The following is a 20638-nucleotide window of genomic DNA, read 5'->3' as shown; positions in this document are numbered from 1 at the left end:
GGCTGGTGACCTGATCCTGGCACCCAGGAAAGTGCTCAAGATAAGTCAAAGGAAAGAACACTAAAACTGGCCAGGTCTGGACTGGATTCCTATGTCTGGCCATTATTGGAGGTGACATCTTGAGCACATTCCTTTTTACTTCTTTGAGTCTCTCTGTTTCATTCTTATATTAGTGACAATAATACCTATATCTTCTATTTGGTGAAAATTCCATAGTTAGTAATCATAAAAAAAAGCTGCAATTGGGAGTTGCTTCCCACAACACAGCTTTGCAGTCCTTAGAACTGCTTTACCCATCCTTAATTTGAGGCAAGCAAAAAAAAAATGGGTGAAATAAACTTATTCAAGCTCTTCCTTCAGAAATAATAGACTGGCAGGGAATTGGCTGTCTCCACACTCAGTCCCTGGGCTGATCTTGGTTCTAAATGCTCCAGTATTACCTGATCCACTCCCCACCACTGTGTTTACTATTCCAGCTTGGCGCCTGTGCCCTGCCACTTGACAATCCACCACCCTCCAGCATCCTCTCGCTTGCACTTCAGTGGTGAAGTCGACCTGCTCAGAGACCTCCCTCGCTCACATCTTCCTTCAGAGGATTTTGGCTGGTCTGTCTTCCCCTGAAGCTCTCATGCTTGTTTCCCTGGCATTAAGTAGAGAGGGTTCCTTTCACCTTGCCTCCTGCTTTCAACCCCTTACCTCCCTGTGGCTTTCTTGGATGGGAAGGGTCAGTGCCCTGCCTGGGATATATCCACATTTCCTCTGTTCTCCTAGGCCTAGCTCCCTGGGCAAGGGGTGCAGGGAGAAGGGATTCGTGCACCTTAGATGGAGACAAATGCTAGACAAATGCTATGGCAATAAAATAAGTGAGACCTGCTTTTGCATTTTGGCTCTGGACTTTACAGTTGTATGATTTTGGATTTGAAGTGATAAGAATGAATTCACAGAGCTATATGTGTGATTCATGATTGCTGAAATGATGTTTTCCCAGTTCATAAGCTCCCCTCTTCTGCCAGCTGAGCCTCTTGCAGAACCTATACAGTTCCCAAAGACCAGAGCTGGCTCTTGACAAGCAAAGCCATGCTTCCTTTTGCTTTGTGGCAAATTACTTTTTTTCCTGCAAAACAGCATGGCCTAGTGCTGATTCAGTAGATCAGAGTAGGAAAAGACAGATCTGGCTTAAAAATCTGTTCTTTGCCACTCACTAGATGGGTATCCTTGATCCTATTACCAATGTCTCTGAGCCTTCTTTCTCCCCCTCACCTGTAGAATGGATTCTGAGTCCTGAGCTGTTTTGAAGATCAGTGATAATGTGGGTAAGGTACCTGCACAAACACACTCTTATAAATAGCAGCTCTTGTGATTTGCACACCTACAGCATCCTGCCTCTTGGTGTGAACTGCTCAGGCTTTTAGCTTAGTCACCCATCTCATTTGTAACATTCACGTACAGACCACTTCCTTCCAGCTTGTCAGCTGAGACAGAGGAAGGAAGCATTTCCATTTTCGTCCCTAGAACTGGAATGCTTGCATTGGGTCTCACTCTCCCACTGGAAGCTGGCTGTAACAGCAGCCCTCACTTCTGTTCCCGAGACCCTCTCAGGTAATCACTCTGATTGTTATCAGAAAGCAAATGAAAAGCAGCCTGGCTTACCTAGAGAGGAGTGATTTGATTGTGAGAGGCTCAGTCAGTGCCCTCTCAGCTCCTGACTTTCAGACATGCTCATGATGAAGTGCAGCCGAAAAGAAGCAAACTTCAGCGAAACTAGCTCTCCAAAGCTGGTGGAGATATCTATGCATCCTCCAGAATATAGTTTGAGAGGTAAGGTTTATGGCCATATAGTTCAAAAAACAAAGACCTTCAGAGGTTCCTGGGGTGATGGCCCTGTGCTTTTCAGGTAGCATCCAACCCCTTGTGTTTTATGGGGGAAATAAATGCACACACCTGAAGCAATGAGCTGTGTATGTGCTGGGATTATTTTACATCTATTCCATCATGTCTGCTTTTTTTTAGCTTCTGCCTCTACCTTAGGCCCGAAGCCCAAAGGTAGTTGAATCTTCTTTTGTTGGCAACTTGTCATCTGGCTAGGCTAAGTAATCTCACATAGAAGGTGCTTGTTGTATTCTAGAGAAAATGACCCAGTGAGCTGCTATGTCAGTAAGGATCCTGCATGGTAAGAAAGAGATGGCACAGGGAAACTGAGAAATTTGGGGAGAGAGACTATTTGGAAAGATGTGCACAGGCAAAGCAAAGTCACAAGGAGAACTGATGATTAATGAGATTGAGCCTTTTACACATGCTTATGTGCATATTGCTTTTGTGAGCTGTCTCTTTTCTTCCATAGTGGAGAAGCCTGAGTGTATTGGGTCTCACTCTCCCACTGGGAGCTGGCAGTAACAGCAGCCCTCACTTCTGTTAAAAAGTGAGCACACCCTTACCCACGGATGGCCCAACAAGGTGGAAGGAGGGAGCACATGTTCTAACTACGGTCAGGACTGCCTGACAGGAGCTGAGCCCAGCTCCAGAGATAAGCCATTCAATGGTGACTCTACAAGCAGCCAGCTGCGGGAGTGCATACTCTGACTTCACTGGTCTCCTGCCAGCGAATCTCCTGCCAATCCCTAGAGCAGATGGCAAGGGAGTCCACTGAGGCAGAGTAGAGAAAGATGGAAAATGGGTGTGGGGCAGGGAAGAAATAAAATATATTTCCTCTAGGGGAGTCGAGAGGGGAAAGAAAAGGAATTCACATGGATCATATGCCTAGCATGTCCCAGGAGAATTAATTCCTTCTCCCCCTGGAAAATTAAAGAAATCTCTTTTTGATAAATGCAGAAAATGAGACTTAGGGTAGTTGAGTGGTTTGCTCAAGGCCATTCATCTTGTCTGTCAGCCTAAATAAAGCTCATGCTTTTTCTGCCCTGAATTGCCCCACATGTTCCGAAGATGGCGACACAAGACACATCAGACAGAGGGTCACCTCCCCAGATCTTGGTCTCAGCCACCAAGGACTGCAAGCTTGCAGGTGAGGACAGGCAGTGTGGAGGGTGTGGCATTCAGGGAGAAAACACTAGTTAGCCTTTTTGCAGTTGGGGTAGTGTGAATGTATCCTGCATAATTCTAATTTGGCTGTGGGAGGCCACTATTCTGAATGGATCCCTAAAGAATACTAAGGCACAGAATTACACAGGAGTCAGTGTTGGAATCAGAAAGGTGTGATTTTGGAGGGAGGTTTTTAGTTACATGACCATGAGTAAGTCCCTTAACTTCTCTGAGCATCAGCTTCCATATCTATGAAATCTAAACAACGTGAGCAGCAATTTTATTTTGAATAATGAACTAAGAAAACCGGGAGGCTGGGCATGGTGGCTCACGCCTGTAATCCCAGCCCTTTGGGAGGCCAAGGCGGGTGAATCACCTGATGTCGAGACCAGCCTGGCCAACATGGGGAAACCATGTCTCTACTAAAAATACAAAAAAATAGCCAGGTGTGGTGGTGGGCACCTGTAATCCCAGCTACTCGAGAGGCTGAGGCAGGAGAATTGCTTGAACCCCAGAGGTGGAGGTTGCAATGAGCCGAGGTTGCACCATCACATTGCAGCCTGGGCAACAACAGCAAAACACCATCTCGGAAAAAAAAAAAAAAAAAAAGAAAGAAAGAAAGAAAAGAAAAGGAAAAGAAAAGAAAAGAAAACTCGGACTAAAGTACCTAGTGCCAGTGGCTGACATACAGCAAGTGCTCAGTAATGATGACCATTAGCAGTACAGGAAAATGGTCATGGAAGGCCCAATTACAAGGTCACAGTTTTATAATATACTTGTTCAGAAAATTATAAAATTTACTTAGAAAGGTGCACAAATCATAAGTATAGAGGTTGGTTAATTTTAACAGTGTGAGTGCTCTTGTGTAGGCCCTAACCCAAAATGAGAATAGAATTTCCTCTTGTATACTTCCTCAGTTGACAACTCTGGAACTCTGAAGGTAATCAGTACTATAAATTCTAGAACCGTTGATTAATTTCATCTATTTTAGATATACGTTGAGATAGAATCAATTATACTTTTTTCTATTTTTTTTTTTTAATTCAACACTGGCTTTAGGGACTTTATGTTTCTGCATGAAGTTCATTTCATTGTTTTACAGGATTTCTTTGTATGAATATGCCACAATTTATGCATTCTACTGTCAATAGACTTTTGATTTGTGTTCGTTTTGGGTTATAACAAGCAGTATCCCAATAAACATTTTTTGGACATGTTGGGTGAATTTATGTATGCTTTTCTGTTGGTTTGCTGGGTCACAAGTATGCATGTGTTCAATTTTATGTAGATACTGCTAAACAGTTTTCAGAAATAGTTGTACTGATTTATGCAGTTGACCTGCAGTGTTTGAGAGCTGCAGTTGTCCCACATCCTCATTAACACCTGTGCTATCATATATTTTAATTTTCAGCCATTCTAGTGGGAATGTGGTACACTTAATTGTGATTTTAATTTGCATTTACTGATGATTAATGAGATTGCGCATTTTACATATGCCGATTTGTATATTGCTTTTGTGAGCTGTCTCTTTTCTTCCATAGCATGGTTTACCTTTTCACTTTCTTTGTGGTATCTTTTGATGAACAGAAGTTGTTAATTTAAATGTAAGTTCATTTTCAACTTTTTTTTTTTTCCTTCGGTGTTAGATATGTCCTGTTTCTGAAAACTGCCTAAACCAGGCCACAAAGATATTCTTTTGTTTTCTTCTGGGTGTTTTGTGTTGATGTTTGTTTTGCCTTTACATTTACATCTGCAAGCTGCCTGGAATCAATTTTTTAGTATGATATCAGAAAGAGGTTATAACATGTTTTTAATATGGACATTTGTTTATTACAGAATCATTTATAGAAAAAAGTCCCTTTCTCATTACACTGCAGCATCAGATTTATCATGAATATAGTGATCTTATGTGTGTAGGCCTGTTTTCATTATCATATTCTGTTGATCCATTTGTCTGTTTTTGCACTAACGTCCTACTGTCTTAGTTGATGTAACTTTGTCATCAATCTTGATTATCTGGTTATGTGAGTCAGTCCTTTGCATTTACACATAAATTTTAAAACATCATGCTATTTTCTGGAAAATTACTCTTGAGATTTTGGCCAAAACTGCATTGAATCCACAGATAAACTTTGAAAAAATTAATACCTTTCCATTTCTTACTTTCAACTTTTCTGTGTTCTTATATTTAAGGTGCGACATTTGAAAGCAGTTTGAGGCTCTGCGTGTGTGTCCGTATGTGTGTGTGTTTTAATACGGTGTTTAAAATATTTAATTAGTGCATTCACATTCAACATAATTGCTGATGTATTTGGATTTAGATCTATAGTCTTTTTTTCTATTTTTCCCTCTTGTTCTATTTTAATTATCCCCTTTTTGCCTTCTTAGTAGTTAAAATAATGCTTTGTTATTCAGTATCCTCTCTCTGTTAGCTTGTTGGTTGTACATTTTTATATTCTTAAAGGGATTATCCTATAGATATAAATATATATTTTACCATGTCCAAGACAAAATCGGGATCTTAAAACACCTTAACTTCATTTAACCCATTCCATTTTTTATAATTGTAATTTTACATATATTTTCAACAAAACTTCAATAATAATTTTTTAACTATTGTTACATACAGTAAGGAATCATTTGGGCTTTTCAATATATTTATTTTTTTCTGTGTCTGTTTATTTCTTCCTCTATGTCTCTGTTTCTTTCTGAGATATTTTTCTTCTGCCTGAAAAAACACTTTTAAGAATTACAAATAAAGCTGCTACAAATATCCATTTGTAGGTTTTTGGTGGCCATTAAGTTTTTAAATCATTTGGGTAAATACCTAAAAGCGCAATTGGTGGTTTGGATAATAAGACTGTGTTTGTCACAATTTACCGAATTTGTCAGAAATTACCAAACTGTCTTCCAAAGTGACTGTATTCACCATCAATAAATGAAAGTTCCTATTGCTTCTCATTTGATACTATCACTGTTTCGGACTTTGTCCATTCTAAAAGATAGTTGTGCTATCTCTTTGTTTTAATTTGCAGTTCCCTAATGGCATATGATGTGGAGCATCTTTTTATATGCTTATTTGATATCTGTATGTTTTCTTTGATGAAGTGTCTGTTCAGGTCTTTTGCCCATGTTTTAAATTGAGTTGTTTGATTTTTTATTGTTGAATATAAGAGTTCTTTGTATATTTTTGATAATAATCTTTTTATCAGATATGTCTGTTGAAAATATATTCTCCCAGTCTGTGGTTGTCTTCTCATGCTCTTGACAGTGTCTTCAGCAGAGCAGAAATTTTTAATTTTAATGCAGTCACCTTATTGGGTTTTTATTTCATAGATTTTGCCTTTGCTGTTGTGTCTAAAAAGCCATCATCATACTCAAGGTCATGTAGATTTTCTCCTATGATATCTTGTGGAAGTTTTATAGTTGTGTACTTTGCATTTAGGTCTATGGTTTCTTTTGAGTTAATTTTTGTGAGGGTATAAGGTCTCTGTCTAAATTCTTTGTGGGTTTTTTTTTTTTTTTTTGCATGTGGATTTTCAGTTGTTCCAGAACATTTGTTGAAAAGAGTATCTTTCTTCATTGCGTTACCTTTGGTTCTATATCAAAATTTAGTTGACTTTATTTATGTGGTTCTACTTCTGGGCTCTATATTCTTTTCCATTGATCTACTTGTCTGTTCTTTTGCTAATACTGCATTGTAGCTTCATAGTAAGTCTTAAAGTCTGATAGTATCAGTTCTCTGACTTTGTTCATTTGCAATGTTGTGTTGGCTATTCTGGGTCTTTTGCTTCTTCATATAAACTTTAGAATCATTTTGTTGATATCCACAAAATAACTACTGGGATTTTGGTTGAGACTGTATTTAGTCTATTGATCAAGTTGTGAAGAACTGATACCTTGACAATATTGAGTGTTTCTATCCATGAACATAGAATATCTTTCTATTTATCTGGTTCTTTGATTTATTTCATCAAAGTTTTTCATTTTTTATATAGATCTTGTAATATTTTGCTAGATTTATGCCAAGTAATTTAATATTTTTGGCACTACTGTAGATGGTATTGTGGTTTTAATGTCAAATTCCATTTATTGTTGACATATAGAAAGTCAATTTAATTTGTATATTAACCTTATATCTGAAGGCTTTCTATAATTGCTTTTGAGTTTTGGGAGTTCTGTTGTTGGTTATTTCAGATTTTCAACATAAAGAAATCTGCCACCTATGAAAGAGTTTTATATCTTTCTTCCCAATCCGTATACTTTTTATTTCCTTTTCTTGTGTTACTGCATTATCTTGCTTATTGCATAGTTTTAACACTTTGAAAAGGAATGGTAAGAGGAGATATACTCATCTTTTTCCTGATCTTAGTGGGAAACGTTCTAATTTCTCACCATGAAGTAAAATTTTAGTTATAGGTTCTTGTAGTTTTTTTTTTATCTAGTTGAGAAATTTTCTTCTATTTCTAGTGTGCCATGAGTTTTAATTATGAATAGGCATCAAGTTTTTTAAAATGTACTTTTCCTGCATTTATTGATATAATCATGAACTTTTTGTTGCTGTTGTTTAGTCTTTTGATAGAATGAACTAGCATTTCATACCTGGGATAAATGACACTTGGTCATGATGTATAATTTTTTTATTGGATTCAATTTGCAAATATTTTGTTGAGATTTTCTGCATATTTGTTCATTAGAAATATTGGCCTGTACCTTTATTTTCTTGTAAAATGTCTTTGGTTTTGGTATTAGGGTAATGGTGGCCTCACAGAATGAATTAGGAAGTTTGTCCTCTGCTTTTATCTTCTGGAAGAGATTGTAGAAATTGTAATTTTTTTCTTTAAATGTTTGGTAGAATTGATCAATGAACCCATCTGGGTTTGATGCTTTGGATTTTGAAAGGTTATTAATTTTTGATTCAAATTATTTAGTAGATATAGGTGTATTCAGATTGCCTACTTTTTCTTGTATGAGTTTTGGCACATGTGCCTTTCTGTTCTATTTTATCTAAATAATAAAATTTGTAGGTGTTGAGTTATTCATAGTATTTTTATTATCCTTTTAATGTTCATAAGATCTGTACTGATGTCTCTTCTTCATTTCTGATATTAGAAATTTTTGTCTTCTTTTTTTCCTTTGGTAAGCAGACTAGAGTTTTATAAATTTTATTCATCTTTCAAAGAACCAGCTTTTGGATTTGTTCATTTTCTCTATTGATTTCCTGCTTTAAATTTCATTTATTTCTGCTTTAATTTTTATTATTTCTTTCTTCTACTTACGTTGGATTTAATTTACTCTTCTTTTTCCACTTTTCTAAAGTGGAAGCATAGATTATTCACTTTAGATATTTCTTTTTACAAAAGTATATATACAGTGACTGCTCCAAATTTCTCTCAAAGCACTGCTTTTGCTGCATCCCACAATTCTTGATGAACTGTTTATTTTTGTTTAGTTCAAAATATTTCTAAATTTCTCTTCAGATTTTTTTCACTCACCAATATGTTATTTAGAAATGCATTGCTTAATTGCTAAGTATTTGGGGATTTTTCACCTACCTTTATTATTGTTTTCTAGTTTAATTCTATTTTGTTCTGAGAGAAAACATCGTATGATTTCTATTTTTAAAAAATTTGGGCCAGGTGCGGTGGCTCATGCCTGTAATCCCAGCACTTTGGGAGGCCAAGACGGGCGGATCACGAGGTCAGGAGATCGAGACCATCCTGGCTAACACGGTGAAACCCCGTCTCTACTAAAAATACAAAAAAAATAGCCGGGCGTGGTGGCGAGCGCCTGTAGTCCCAGATACTCGGGAGGTTGAGGCAGGAGAATGGCGTGAACCTGGGAGGAGGAGCTTGCAATGAGCTGAGATCGCGCCACTGCACTCCAGCCTGGGGGACAGAGCGAGACTCCATCTCAAAAAAAAAAAAAAAAAAATTGTTGTTTTTTTATGGCCAAGAATATTGATCTATCTTGGTAAATATTTTGCATGAGCTTAAAAAGAATTTGTACTATACTTTTATTGGATGAAGTAGTCTATAGATGTGAATTATATCAAGTTGATTGATGGAGCTGTTGAGTTCGACTATGTCCTTAGTTATTTGCTGCCTGCTGGATTTGTCCATTTCTGATAAAGGAGTGCTAAAGTCTACAAATATAATAGTGGATTCATCTACTTCTCTTTGAAGTTCTATCAGTTTTTGCCTTACATATTTTGATGCTCTCATTTTAGGTACACACCCGTTAAGGATTGTTGTATATTATTGTAAATCTATCCCTTTATGTTTACCCCTCTTGATCCCTGATTATATTCCTTGCTGTCAAGTCTGTTCTGTTTAATATTAATGCAGCTTCTTCCTTTTCGTTTTGATTAGTGTTAGCATGATATACCTTTCTCCATTTCTTCTAATCTATATGTTTCTTTATATTTAAAGTGGGTTTCTTGTGGAATTTTGATCCACTCTCACAATTTTTTAATTGTGTATTTAGATATTTCATGTTTGAAATGATTATTAATATAGTTGGATTAATAACTTTTCTATTTATTGCCTTTGTTTTTATTTTTTACTTTTCAGTCTTTTGTGGCTTCACTTGAGCATTTTATATAATTCTATTTTCTCTCCTTTCTTAGCATATAATTTATACTTCTTTTTTTTTTCCTAGTGGTTGCCCTGGAGTTTGCAATATATATTTACAACTAATCCAGGTCCACTTGAAAGTGGAAATATTATACCACTTCACAGGCAGTGCAAGTACCTTATAATAACAAAATATTCCTAATTGTTCCTTCTTGTTCTTTGAATCATTGCCCTTATTCATTTCACTTATACATAAGCTATAATCATTAAAAAATTGTTGCTATTATTTGGAACAAACTGTTACGTGTTAGAACAATTAAGAACAAGAAAAATAGAAGTTTTTATTTTATCTTTACTGTTCGTTCTCCAGTGATCTTCCTTTGTTTATGTAGATCTGAGTTTCTGACCTATATCATTTTCTTTCTTTCTGAAGAGCTTCTTTTAACATTTCTTTCATGGCAGGTCTACTGGCAACAAATTTCCTCAAGTTTTGTTTGTATGAGAATATTTTTATTTTTCCTTCACTTTTAAAGGATAATTTTGCAACCCACAGAGTTCCAGGCTAGTGTTTTTTCTTCCAACACTTTAAATATTTTACTTCATTCTATTGCTTGAAGTTTTTCTGAGAAATCAGACGTAATTTTTTTTTTTTAATAGGGAGTCTCGCTTTGTCAGCAGGCTGGAGTGCAGTGGCGTGATCTCGGCTCATTGCAGCCTCCACCTCCCAGGTTCAAGCGATTCTCCTGCCTCAGCCTCCTGTGTAGCTGGGACTACAGGCGTGTGCCACCATGCCTGGCTAATTTTCTTTTGTATTTTTAGTAGAGACAGGGTTTTACCCTGTTAGCCAGGATGGTCTCGATCTCCTGACCCTGTGATCTGCCTGCTTCAGCCTCCCAAAGTGCTGGGATTACAGGCGTGAGCCACCACGCCCGGCCGTAATCCTTATCCTTGAACCTTTATGAGTAAGATGTTTTTTACATTTGTCTTATTTTTAAGACTTTTTAATTTTTGATTTCCCACAGTTTGAATATAAATTTTCTAGGTGTAGTGTATTTTTGTCTTGTTTTGATTCTTCATTTCAGAAGCAGGGTCGTGTTATTCTGTTTGGTGTTCTCTGAACTTCCTGGACTTGTGATTTGGTGTCTGACATTAATTGGGGAATATTCTCAGTCATTACTTCAAGTATTTTATGTTTCTTTATTTCTTCTTCGTATATTCCCATTAAGCATTTGTTACATCATTTGTAGTTGTCCCACAGTTCTTGGATATTATGTTCTATTTTTTCATGTTTTTCTCTTTGATTTTCAGTTTTAGAAGTTTCTGTTGACATATGCCCAAGCTCAGAGATTCATTCCTCAGCCATATCCAGTCTACGAATTACTCTATCAAAGGTATTCTTCTTGTTACAATGTTTTTGATTTATATCATTTCTTTTTGAATATTTCTTAAAATTTCCATCTCTCTGCTTACATTTTACCTCTGCTTTGCGTATTTTCTACTTTTTCCATTAGAGCCTTTAGCTTATTAAGGATAGTTCCAAATTCTCGGCCTGATAACTCCAACATGTCTGAAATATATGAGTCTGGTTCTGATATTTGTTCTGTCTCTTCAAACTGTTTTTTGTTGTTGTTGTTTTTTTTTGTATTTTGCCTTTAGTATATATTGTGACTTTTTGTCGTAAGCCTGACTGACATACTCAGTAAAAGGAATTCTGATAACAGATCTTTAGTAATGTGGTGGGCAGGTGAAGTGTTCTATCACTCTGTGATTATTAGGCTTTCGTCCTTTTGTGATCCTATGCCCCTTGAATATGAACTTCACAAGGGCTTCTCAGTCTCCCTGACCCCTGCTCCAGGTAGGACAGGTTGACTAGAGTGGGCTAGAGTTGGGTCTTTCTCTTTCTCCAGGTTGGTTAGGCTCTGTTAAAACCACAAAAGAGTAGGCTTTGGTAAGATATTTTTTATTGACCACAGGCCTTTTTAAGAACAGAATGCTTTGGCATATTTCATAATGGTTACTTCTCCCTTCTATTTTCAAATACATGAGGAAAGTTTTCTCTGATACTCACTTTGAGAACCTGAGAGAGCTCCTGGAAGTAAAACTCATAAAAAGTGAGGGGCCTCTGTATGCCTGCCCCCACTGGAGTTTCTAACTCTCAGATTCATCCACACTGAGCTTTCAGCAATTCACCAGTTACAGTTTGGGTTTTCCTGCCCCAGTATTTGTTCCCACAGAGGTTTCTGCTTGTGGGTCTCTGTTCTGGCAAGTTGTGATTCTCTGTATACGCTCGTGTGTCTCTCTTATTTTTGGGGAGGAGGTTTATCCTGTGACCTTACGTTTATGACAGATCTAAGAAGAGTTGATTTTTCAGTTTATGTATTTTTCTTTTGTTTACTTGTTGTTAGTGAAGACCTCAAAGCTCCTTACATGCAGGTCTAGAATCCAGAAGAGGCTTTAAAAAATGCTCGGTAATATTTTATGGAGCATCAGATATTGTGTATGAAACACTATGTAGGCTCAGAACCGCATTCTCTTTTCCCAGAGATAATTTACTCTATCATATAGCGGGCAACTAGAACAAGAAAGATAATCTCAATTATTCAGGAATGGAACTGACTTGAGCCTGCTTTCATTTCTTTTCTTTTCTTTCTTTCTTTCTTTCTTTTTTTTCTTTTTTTTTTTTTTTTGAGATGGAGTTTTGCTCTTGTTACCCAGGCTGGAGTTCAATGGTGCGATCTCGCCTCACTGCAACCTCTGCCTCATGGGTTCAACTGATTCTCCTGCCTCAGCCTCCCAAGTAGCTGGGATTACAGGCATGAGCCACCACGCCTGGCTAATTTTGTATTTTTAGTTGAGACAAGGTTTCTCCATGTTGGTCAGGCTGGTCTCGAACTCCCGACCTCAGGTGATCTGCCCACCTTGGCCTCCCAAAGTTCTGGGATTACAGGCTGGTTTCACTTCTTAAAAGATTTTGACTACTTCTGATAGGGACAGGAAGCAGAGAAATTCTAGGCAGAAAAGGGTGGGGTCTCTGGCGAGGGCCCCATCCTCAAGCCTGGAACCACAGCCCAAAGTGAGAACTTTACATGCCCGTTTTCCTGCTCGAATGTTGCCTTTTCCAAAGCCACACCTGGACTGCCCTGCACTCCATCCTGGTACCCATAAAAACTCCAAGCTCCACTGGCAGAGAGCAGAGAAGGGGAGAAGAGAGGAAGTGGCTGAATGTTGGAGAGAAGCAGTTTGACTTCAGAGGGACAGCTTGATGGTGGGACTTCAGGGGAAGAATACCTTCCCACTCCATCCCCTTTCCAACTCCTCTTCCCACTAAGAGCCACTTCCATAGGCAATAAAATCCCCCACATTTGCTATCCTTCAATTCATTCATGTGACCTGATTTTTCCTGGATGCTGAACAAGAGCTCAAGATACAGAAGGCTGTCACGCTGACCCTCTACCCTTGCAAAAAGGCAGAGCGTCCACTAAGCTGTTAATCATTTAAGCCATCTGTGGATGATAAAGCTGAAAGAGCACTGCCTGTAACACTCCTTCTGGGGCTTTGGGGATAGTGGGTACTCTCCCATAGATGCTGCCATGGGCCCCGCACAGCATTTTGCTCCTGACAGTGCCCAGAAGCACTTGCCCTGGCTCCTTCCTGCACAAGCTCAGCTGCACTGCTCCTCTCACAAGGGGTGGAATGCAGTGGATCCCAGTGAGTGAAGCCTCTGAAGCCACTGGCTAGCTCCAGCACCCACATTCTAGTTCCCACCCATGAAGGGGTCCAGGAAAATTTCCTGTTTCACTTCTGTTTTATCCCCACTAGTAAACTGTAGCCCTTCAGGGATCACACCTGAACACCTGTTATGTTTACCAACACCCCTTTTTATGACTTATTCTCATCTCCATATTTTTTCTCCCCAGCATAGTGAAATGGCCAAAAACTCTACTCATCATTTTAGTGTCTTTATTCCTCTGCTTCTTAGTCTTTTTTCCTAAACAACTTACAAATAGCCTAATCCCTCAATAGGAAGACTGGCACACAGTGTGGCTCTCATCTTAATATCCCCATTTCACTATCCAGGATTTGGGTTCCTCAAGATTGGGTTGCCTTGATTGGTCCAGACTCCAGCCTTCGTTTCCCCACTTTCGTGATACATGGAGAGCGCTGCTTAGCTGCTGATTCTTTGTTGGGTTCTTCTCCATTTTCTGGCAGGCACTTATCTCCATGATAGACATCAAAGTGGCAATGACCAATAGGAAAAGCCTCATGCAGTTCCTCACAAGACTGTGGCCTTTAACTCTTGGTTATTCAGTAGCTCCCTAATACCTGCAAACAAATGTTACTTTCATTTCATTCAGCTTTTCTAGTTGTTGCTCTTGGAAGTATTGGTATTAATAGACAGAAATGAGAGTCCTGGGGCCACTTCTTGTAAGAAGTAAAAGTTTCAGGCAGGTGTTCATAGCAACCAATGAAATAAGCAGAGGTGCTGTAGAGAACTCTGGAAAGTTCCCAGAAGGGCAGTCCTTACCATCAATATCATGAGCTGACCCTTGGCTGCAATTGAAGAGGCTGCTGCATCTCAGCAGATCAGAATCATCTGTAATATCTTATTTGAAGAGATGAAATGACTACATGCTTTATCCAGCATCACTCCCAAGAATGTGAAGGAGACCGCTCTTTAATACATCACGGAGAGACAGCTTCTTGAGCATGAGCCAGAAATGAGTTCCTCATAAAAGATCCAGGTCAGAGCATAAGCACTGGGCCAGTGTAGCTCCAATGTCACTGGTGTGCTGCGTCCTGCTCTTACCAGCTCATGAAAACCTCTTGTGTGTATCTTTTCTCAACTCTGTGTTCAGTAACATCACATTAGCACCATGAAATTGGCCATGATGGGAATATTTACACCATGGAAATCAGCAAGCACTATAAATCAGAGCCTTGTTTTACTCAGAGAGCTGATTATAAAACATTAGCCAGCATATTACCACCCAGAGGAGGTGAATGGCAGAACACTAGGGCCAGATTTCAAACCCTGTATTAGGCTTGTATGCTGAGGGCTGACTCAGTAACAGGCATCATGTCAAACTCTTTGCACGTGTTCCATCATTTAATCCTCACAATAAAACTGTGAGATCAGATGATGGAGAGTAGGAGATTTTGTGTAACCTGCTTAAGACCGCAGAGCAACCTAGGTCAGTCTGGTCCTCACATCTTTGTTCTTAACTACTGCACTAAACATTCTCCCTGCAGCTGCACAAAATGGGAGGACAAACCCTAGACTAAATGGATTGGGAGGTTTTTAGTTACTGAGGGCAGAAAACATAGTATGGCAGAGTCCAAGAACTGGTGTTGGAACTGAGCACATAGCAAGTCTACATATGACAATGCAAACAGACCCTGAGGCAGGGCCTACAGGTTCCCAGTGAGCAGAAAAGCAAACTCAAATAAGCTGGGAGGCAGTAGCCAGTCTTGGATGCATCTGTGGCTGATGGGCATAGTGCAATGACACAGGAAACTAGAATCAGCAATATGACATGGCCACATGCCAGCAGTAGCAGGAACCTGCCCGTGGGGCTTGGCGGCAGTTCTCTGCACTCACAGTGAGTGATTTCCAAGAGCTATGCATATCTGTCAAAGGAATTTAGGTTCTAGGTGGGTTTTTCAGTCTGGGACTTGGTGATGATCCAGAGTTCCTGCTTTCAGGAAGAGGCAATTTGATCAGAATAGAACTAGCAGAACAGAACTCAGGATTATACAAAGATTCTGCAGTGTAGAGGGGTAGAGGTTCTTAGCTACGGAGATGTCCCTGCCAAGACCTAAAAGCTGGGAGAGAAGGGACACCCAGAATACTGAGAACTAAGCAGGCCTGGAACAATGCCAAGGCAGGATACAGGTACCCCAAGTTATGGGTCTTAGGACTGAGTGTGATTCTCAGACCCTGCTCAGATCAGGGCCCAAGTGGAGTGGCCATCAGCCCAATGGCAGCTACTCTTGAGCCCAGGGACATGTCCTGTGTACACTTAAGTTGAAGATAATAGTTTCTTCTCTTTTTGTTTTTGGGTACTATTCCTTTTCAGGCATTTCAGATGTGCCAGCAGAGGCTAACAAAATATGAATCTATCCTCTTCTGGATAAACCCGAGAGATTTCAGATGGGTGGGAGTACCTGGAATGGACTATGTGGTAAGGACAGACCACAGACAAATAAAAACCAAGATAGGCCAGGAGGGGCCGTCAACATTTCTCGAATACAACAGTGTGCAGGGCACCAACTTTTTCTAGGGACACAGAGATCCATGGGAACTCCCATGGAGCTATCAAAACACATTGTGATGAGACTGTAATGAAGATGGTCTTATGTCCTGGTTTGCCAGAGACAGCCCCAGTTTGTGCTTATTGTTCTAACAATTATTAATAACTTCCATTAGAATGATGAATGGTGTGATCACTCTAGTTATAATGGATGTGATGGTTAATTTTTTTGTGTTGACTTAGCTAGGATCGTGATGCCCAGGTATTTGGTCAAACACTAGTCTACATGTTGCTGTGAAGGTATCATTTTTAGATGAAATTAGCATTTAAATCAATAGATTTTTGAGAACATCAGATTAACCTCTGTACTAAGGGTTAGCTTCATTCAATCAATTGAAGGTGTTAAGAAAAAAAACTGAGTTTTCCCGAAAGGAGGGTATTTTACCTTCAGAGTCCCTTTGGATTGGAGCTGTAACATGGTCTCCAGCATCTTCCCTGGATCCCCACCTGACCTGCAGAGGGGGACTTGCTGGGGTCCATACCATGTGCACCAATTCCCTAAAATACATAAACGAATACATCTCTCTCCTTCTCTCTCTCTCTTCTCTCTCTGTCCCTCCCCCACAACCCTCCGTCCCCTCTCTCTTTCTCTGTTTCTCTGTCTATCTGTCTATCTATCTATACACACAATCTTTTGGCTCTGTTTCTCTAGAGAACACTGATAAATAAAATATACTAATGTATAAGAAGCTATGAAGGCATAGTTGCAGTTGTTGTCACTTCTGGGCCCAAGAATTTGAAGGATAAGCTGTTTAAATTACAATGCTGGTGTGGGAGTAGCCCAGGAAAGAGCTTGAACATGTTGAGGAGGGAGATACAAAAGCACGATTCTAAACCAAAGCACCAGCAGGGAGGATGGAAAGGACAGACATGGATCTGAGAAAAATTGTCCTTCATTTCTTGCTGTTGTTATTGCACTGGCTTGGTGCACCCGTATCCTGAACAACCCAACCACCTGTTTTCTCTATTCTTATCCCCAGATGGTGGAGTGCAGGTGATGAAAGCTACACAGCAGAACAGATTGATTGCTGTCCTTGTAAATTCATGGTTGCCAATCTCTAAGAGACCTGGAAATCTCACTAGGACTTTTTGGCCAATTCTTTCTTTACTTTCCCCAGAAACTGTTCACACTTTTTAAATGCATAAACACGCCTCCTCTCCTTTACTCAACATTTTTTAATTAAACTTTTTTATTTTGAGATACTTACATATTCACATGGAGTTGTAATAAGAGAATTTCCCTGTACTCTTTACTCGGTTTTTGCCAATGATAACATCTTGTGAAGTTGTAGCATAATATCAAATCCAGGATACTGACATGAATACAGCCGAGATAAAGTATATTTTTATCACGACATGATGCTTCATGTTGCTGTTGTATAGTCACACCCACTTCCCTCTGCTTCTCCTTAGCCTCTGGCAACCACTAATCTGTTGTTCATTCTCATCATTTTATCATTTCTAGCATGTTATATAGATGAAATCATATACCTTATGTGCTTTTTTAGGATTGGTTTTTGTCAGTTCATATCCACTTTACAGAAAAATAAAAAATAAAGTAAAAGTTTTCAAATGAGAATTTACTTATCTCCCCAATTATAAATATATGAATGACCTGCATCTGTCCTCAATATCGCCCCCTTTTTTTGCTGTAATAATAAAGTAGACTTTCTTCTGGGATTAAAGCCACATCTCATCCTGGAAACCAGATCCTATCCACTCTTACTTTCCCAGGAGCAATGAAACAGGTATTAATTATTTTTTCCTTATACATAGATTCCTTCTGTTAACTAGATTTGTCTATTAGCCTTTAATTTGTTCAAACCATTTCCATTAAATACACATAAAATCCTAATCTCATTCCCCCAGCTATTGCTCCGCTTCCTCTCTTCTTTTATTGAGCTTCTTAAAGAAAATCTTATTTCTTCATTTTACATTATTTCTTAACCACTCTACTGTGGCTTACATTCTCATAATTCCACATCCAAGTAGCTCTACTGAATAGAGGTATTCCCATATGACCTCTTTCTTGAATTCTCAGCACCTTTGGTCCTGATAATCACTCTCTGCTTCTTGCAATGCTCTCTTACCTTGTCTTCCATGAGACAGCATTCTCCTCATTTTTCTTCTGCTCCTCCTACCATGTTTTCTCCATTTATTTTCTGAGCTTGTTCTCTTCCACTCAACCAGTGAATGGTTGGAGTTCTCAGAATTTGGTCACGGGCTGTCTGTCTTCTCAGTTCACTCAAGTTTTTCTCCCTAGACATTCTCATCTACATTATGACATCACTTATCATCTATATACAGACAGTACACGCGTTCATATGCAGCATCATCTTCCTCTGAGTTTCAAACTTGTAATCCATATCTCTTCTTGGAAGGCTGAAAGTCCCTGCAAACCAATATGTTCAAAATTGAAATTAAGATACAGTCCCCAGTGCTGTCCTCCATCGCATAATCTTCTTTTTCTATTCTCCAAGTCAGTGAAGGAGACCATCATCCGTCCACTTAGAAAAGCCAGGAACCTGACATGATGTCCTCTTCTCCTTAATCTTCCATAGTCAACACTTCATTGTGTTGATTTTATCTCCTAAATAACTCACCAACCCATCCACCTGTCTTCTGCCCAGTTGCCTTCCTACTCATTCAAGAGACCACCACCCCTTCTGCCAGAGATATTGCCATTGCTGCCTCAACATTCTCCTGCCTCGACCCTTGCTCCTCACCAAGCTGGTTGCCACACTGTGACCAGAGTAAAATTTTTCAAAATTCAAATTCGCTTTTCTTTTTCTCTCTCTCATGCTGAATATCTGCAAATGCTTTCACTGTCTTGCCAATGCTGTTAGAACAGACAAAGACATAGCTCCTTTATGTGGTCTAGGCTCTGCATGGTCTGCTTTCCTCCTAATTTCCAGTCTCATTTTGCACAGTTTTCCTCCAATTTCTGCTTCAGCCACACTGGTCTTTTGGTGGCAATTATGCCCCATGATGCTCCTGCCTGAGGCATTTGCCTACAGTACTATGTGCAGGAGCCATTTGACTTCTATTCAATTCTTTCTCTTTCCCTCATTCTTCAGTTCCTGGCTCAATCATCATTTTCTGATGTTTTCTTGCAATTTTTCACTTGTTTGATGCTGATCTTGTTTATGGTCATGTCCCTACAGTACATTTTAAGAGCCATAAGGGCAGGCCCTATTACCTATTATTATCCTTATTATTATATCTATATCCCTATTATCTTTATTATTATAGTCATGGCGTAGCACCATGACTCACAGGGTCATTATGTTGTACCTAATGCATGGTGTCCCTGGCACTGTGCATTATTACAGCTGAAATTACTTACTTCACATGGAGGAAATTTCAAATAAATATTTTTGAGTGAATTAATAAGTGAAATTAAATCAGTGGGATTTAATATCAATTGGGCATATGTATGAGAGCAATTGAAAAGAAGACATAAAATGTGATATTTATTTTTTATTTTTTGTAGACATGGGGTCTTGCTACATTGCCCAGGCTGATCTTGAACTCCTGGCCTAAGCAATCCTCCTGTCTCAGCCTCCCAAAGCACTGGGATTATAGGCATGAGCCACCATTCCTGGCTTAAAATATAATTCTTAGGTTTCTACCTTGGGTAATTCGATCAAATTTAATGTCTTTAAAACAAGGATTACCCCCAAAAAACTAGGTTTAGAAGGAGGAGCCTGGGTTTATTTCTTGGCACATCATTTTTGCCATATAAGTACACATCTCTAGTTTTCAGTTAAGATCTGAGATTCGGAAATTGATTTTGGAATCATCAGAGTATGGATGGTATTTGCATTCATGTCTTTGGATGAAATCTATTCAGTGAAGAGAGAGTGGAGTAAGAAAAGGGTCAAAGGGAATACCCCAAGTAGCCACCCAAACATTAAGAGTGTGTTATCACAGAAATCAAGGGAGGAGGATGTTTCAGAAGGAGGTATGATAAGCACTATCAGCAACTTCCAATTTCCATTAAAAGGAGTGGACTCTTCCCAGAGGGGCCATAGGGAGGTTGTAGGGGACTCAGGAGAGGAACGATGGAACATTGGATGGTAAACATAAAGACACAGTGGACACTCAGTGGCAACACAGGTTTGGGTGAGGCTTTTTGACAAAGCAAGGTCTTGTTGAAAACTGTGATATCTGAAATCTTGGCAACAGGTGGGGAAAAAATGAGGGAAGATAAAGGGATATTTTCAGAGAAAAGTTGAAGGAGTTCACCCTTAAGGATCTCAATTTTCCCAGCAACACAGACCACTTATTCATCAGCTGAGAGAATGAGGGCAGGGGCCTGGTGGGGAGCCTGAAGACAAAGACAAGGCTGAGAGCCATCACTGCAGGGAAGAGGAAAGAGAGACAACTTGAGCAGGATAAAGGGTTTGCAGTGAGACTGAAAGCTCCACAAAGGTTGAATTCAAACACATGTAGCAGATTTTGTCCAATGGCCTCCATGTTCCCTGGGCCGCAAAGGGAAAAACAGGTGATTGTATTAATCCAGACCTGTACATCATGAGAACCTGTGCAGAAAAAGATTAAGGGATCAGGGGAATTGAGGGAGTTAGTAAACACGTAGTTGAAATGATTGATAACAGCCGCCAGGTTGATAGGAAAGAAGTGAAGCTGGTCTGGGTTTGATGGGCTGGAAAGACAGAGCAGGACTGGAAGGCTGGAGTTCTCCGTGAGCTCACA

The 20638-nt window shown here is 39.3% G+C and overlaps 2 long non-coding RNA genes across 5 annotated transcripts in view; one reads left to right on the top strand and one right to left on the bottom strand.

The window, feature by feature from the left end:
* The window catches only part of GRID1-AS1 (GRID1 antisense RNA 1), a 29485-nt gene extending 11305 nt beyond the window's left edge, over positions 1-18180 (bottom strand). Inside the window, exons 1-2 of the long non-coding RNA NR_038986.1 lie at positions 18013-18180; positions 16308-16420 (exon numbers count right to left, since the gene is read on the bottom strand). This is a non-coding gene — a long non-coding RNA (GRID1 antisense RNA 1). The remainder of the gene's footprint in view (positions 1-16307; positions 16421-18012) is intronic.
* Positions 12504-20638, top strand: part of LOC105378404 (uncharacterized) — a 46329-nt gene continuing 38194 nt past the window's right edge. For 3 of the 4 annotated variants that reach the window (XR_946157.3, XR_946156.3, XR_007062220.1), the window contains exon 1: positions 12504-15504. This is a non-coding gene — a long non-coding RNA (uncharacterized LOC105378404). Of the gene's footprint in view, positions 15505-15688; positions 15794-20638 lie in introns of all 4 variants that reach the window. The other variant, XR_001747523.2, reaches the window with a different exon arrangement.

The sequence above is a fragment of the Homo sapiens genome, chromosome 10, assembly GCF_000001405.40.
Source record: "Homo sapiens chromosome 10, GRCh38.p14 Primary Assembly".
Taxonomy (NCBI): Eukaryota; Metazoa; Chordata; class Mammalia; order Primates; family Hominidae; genus Homo; species Homo sapiens.
Note: the sequence above shows the minus strand (reverse complement) of the source record. Positions and strands in the feature narration are given on the sequence as shown.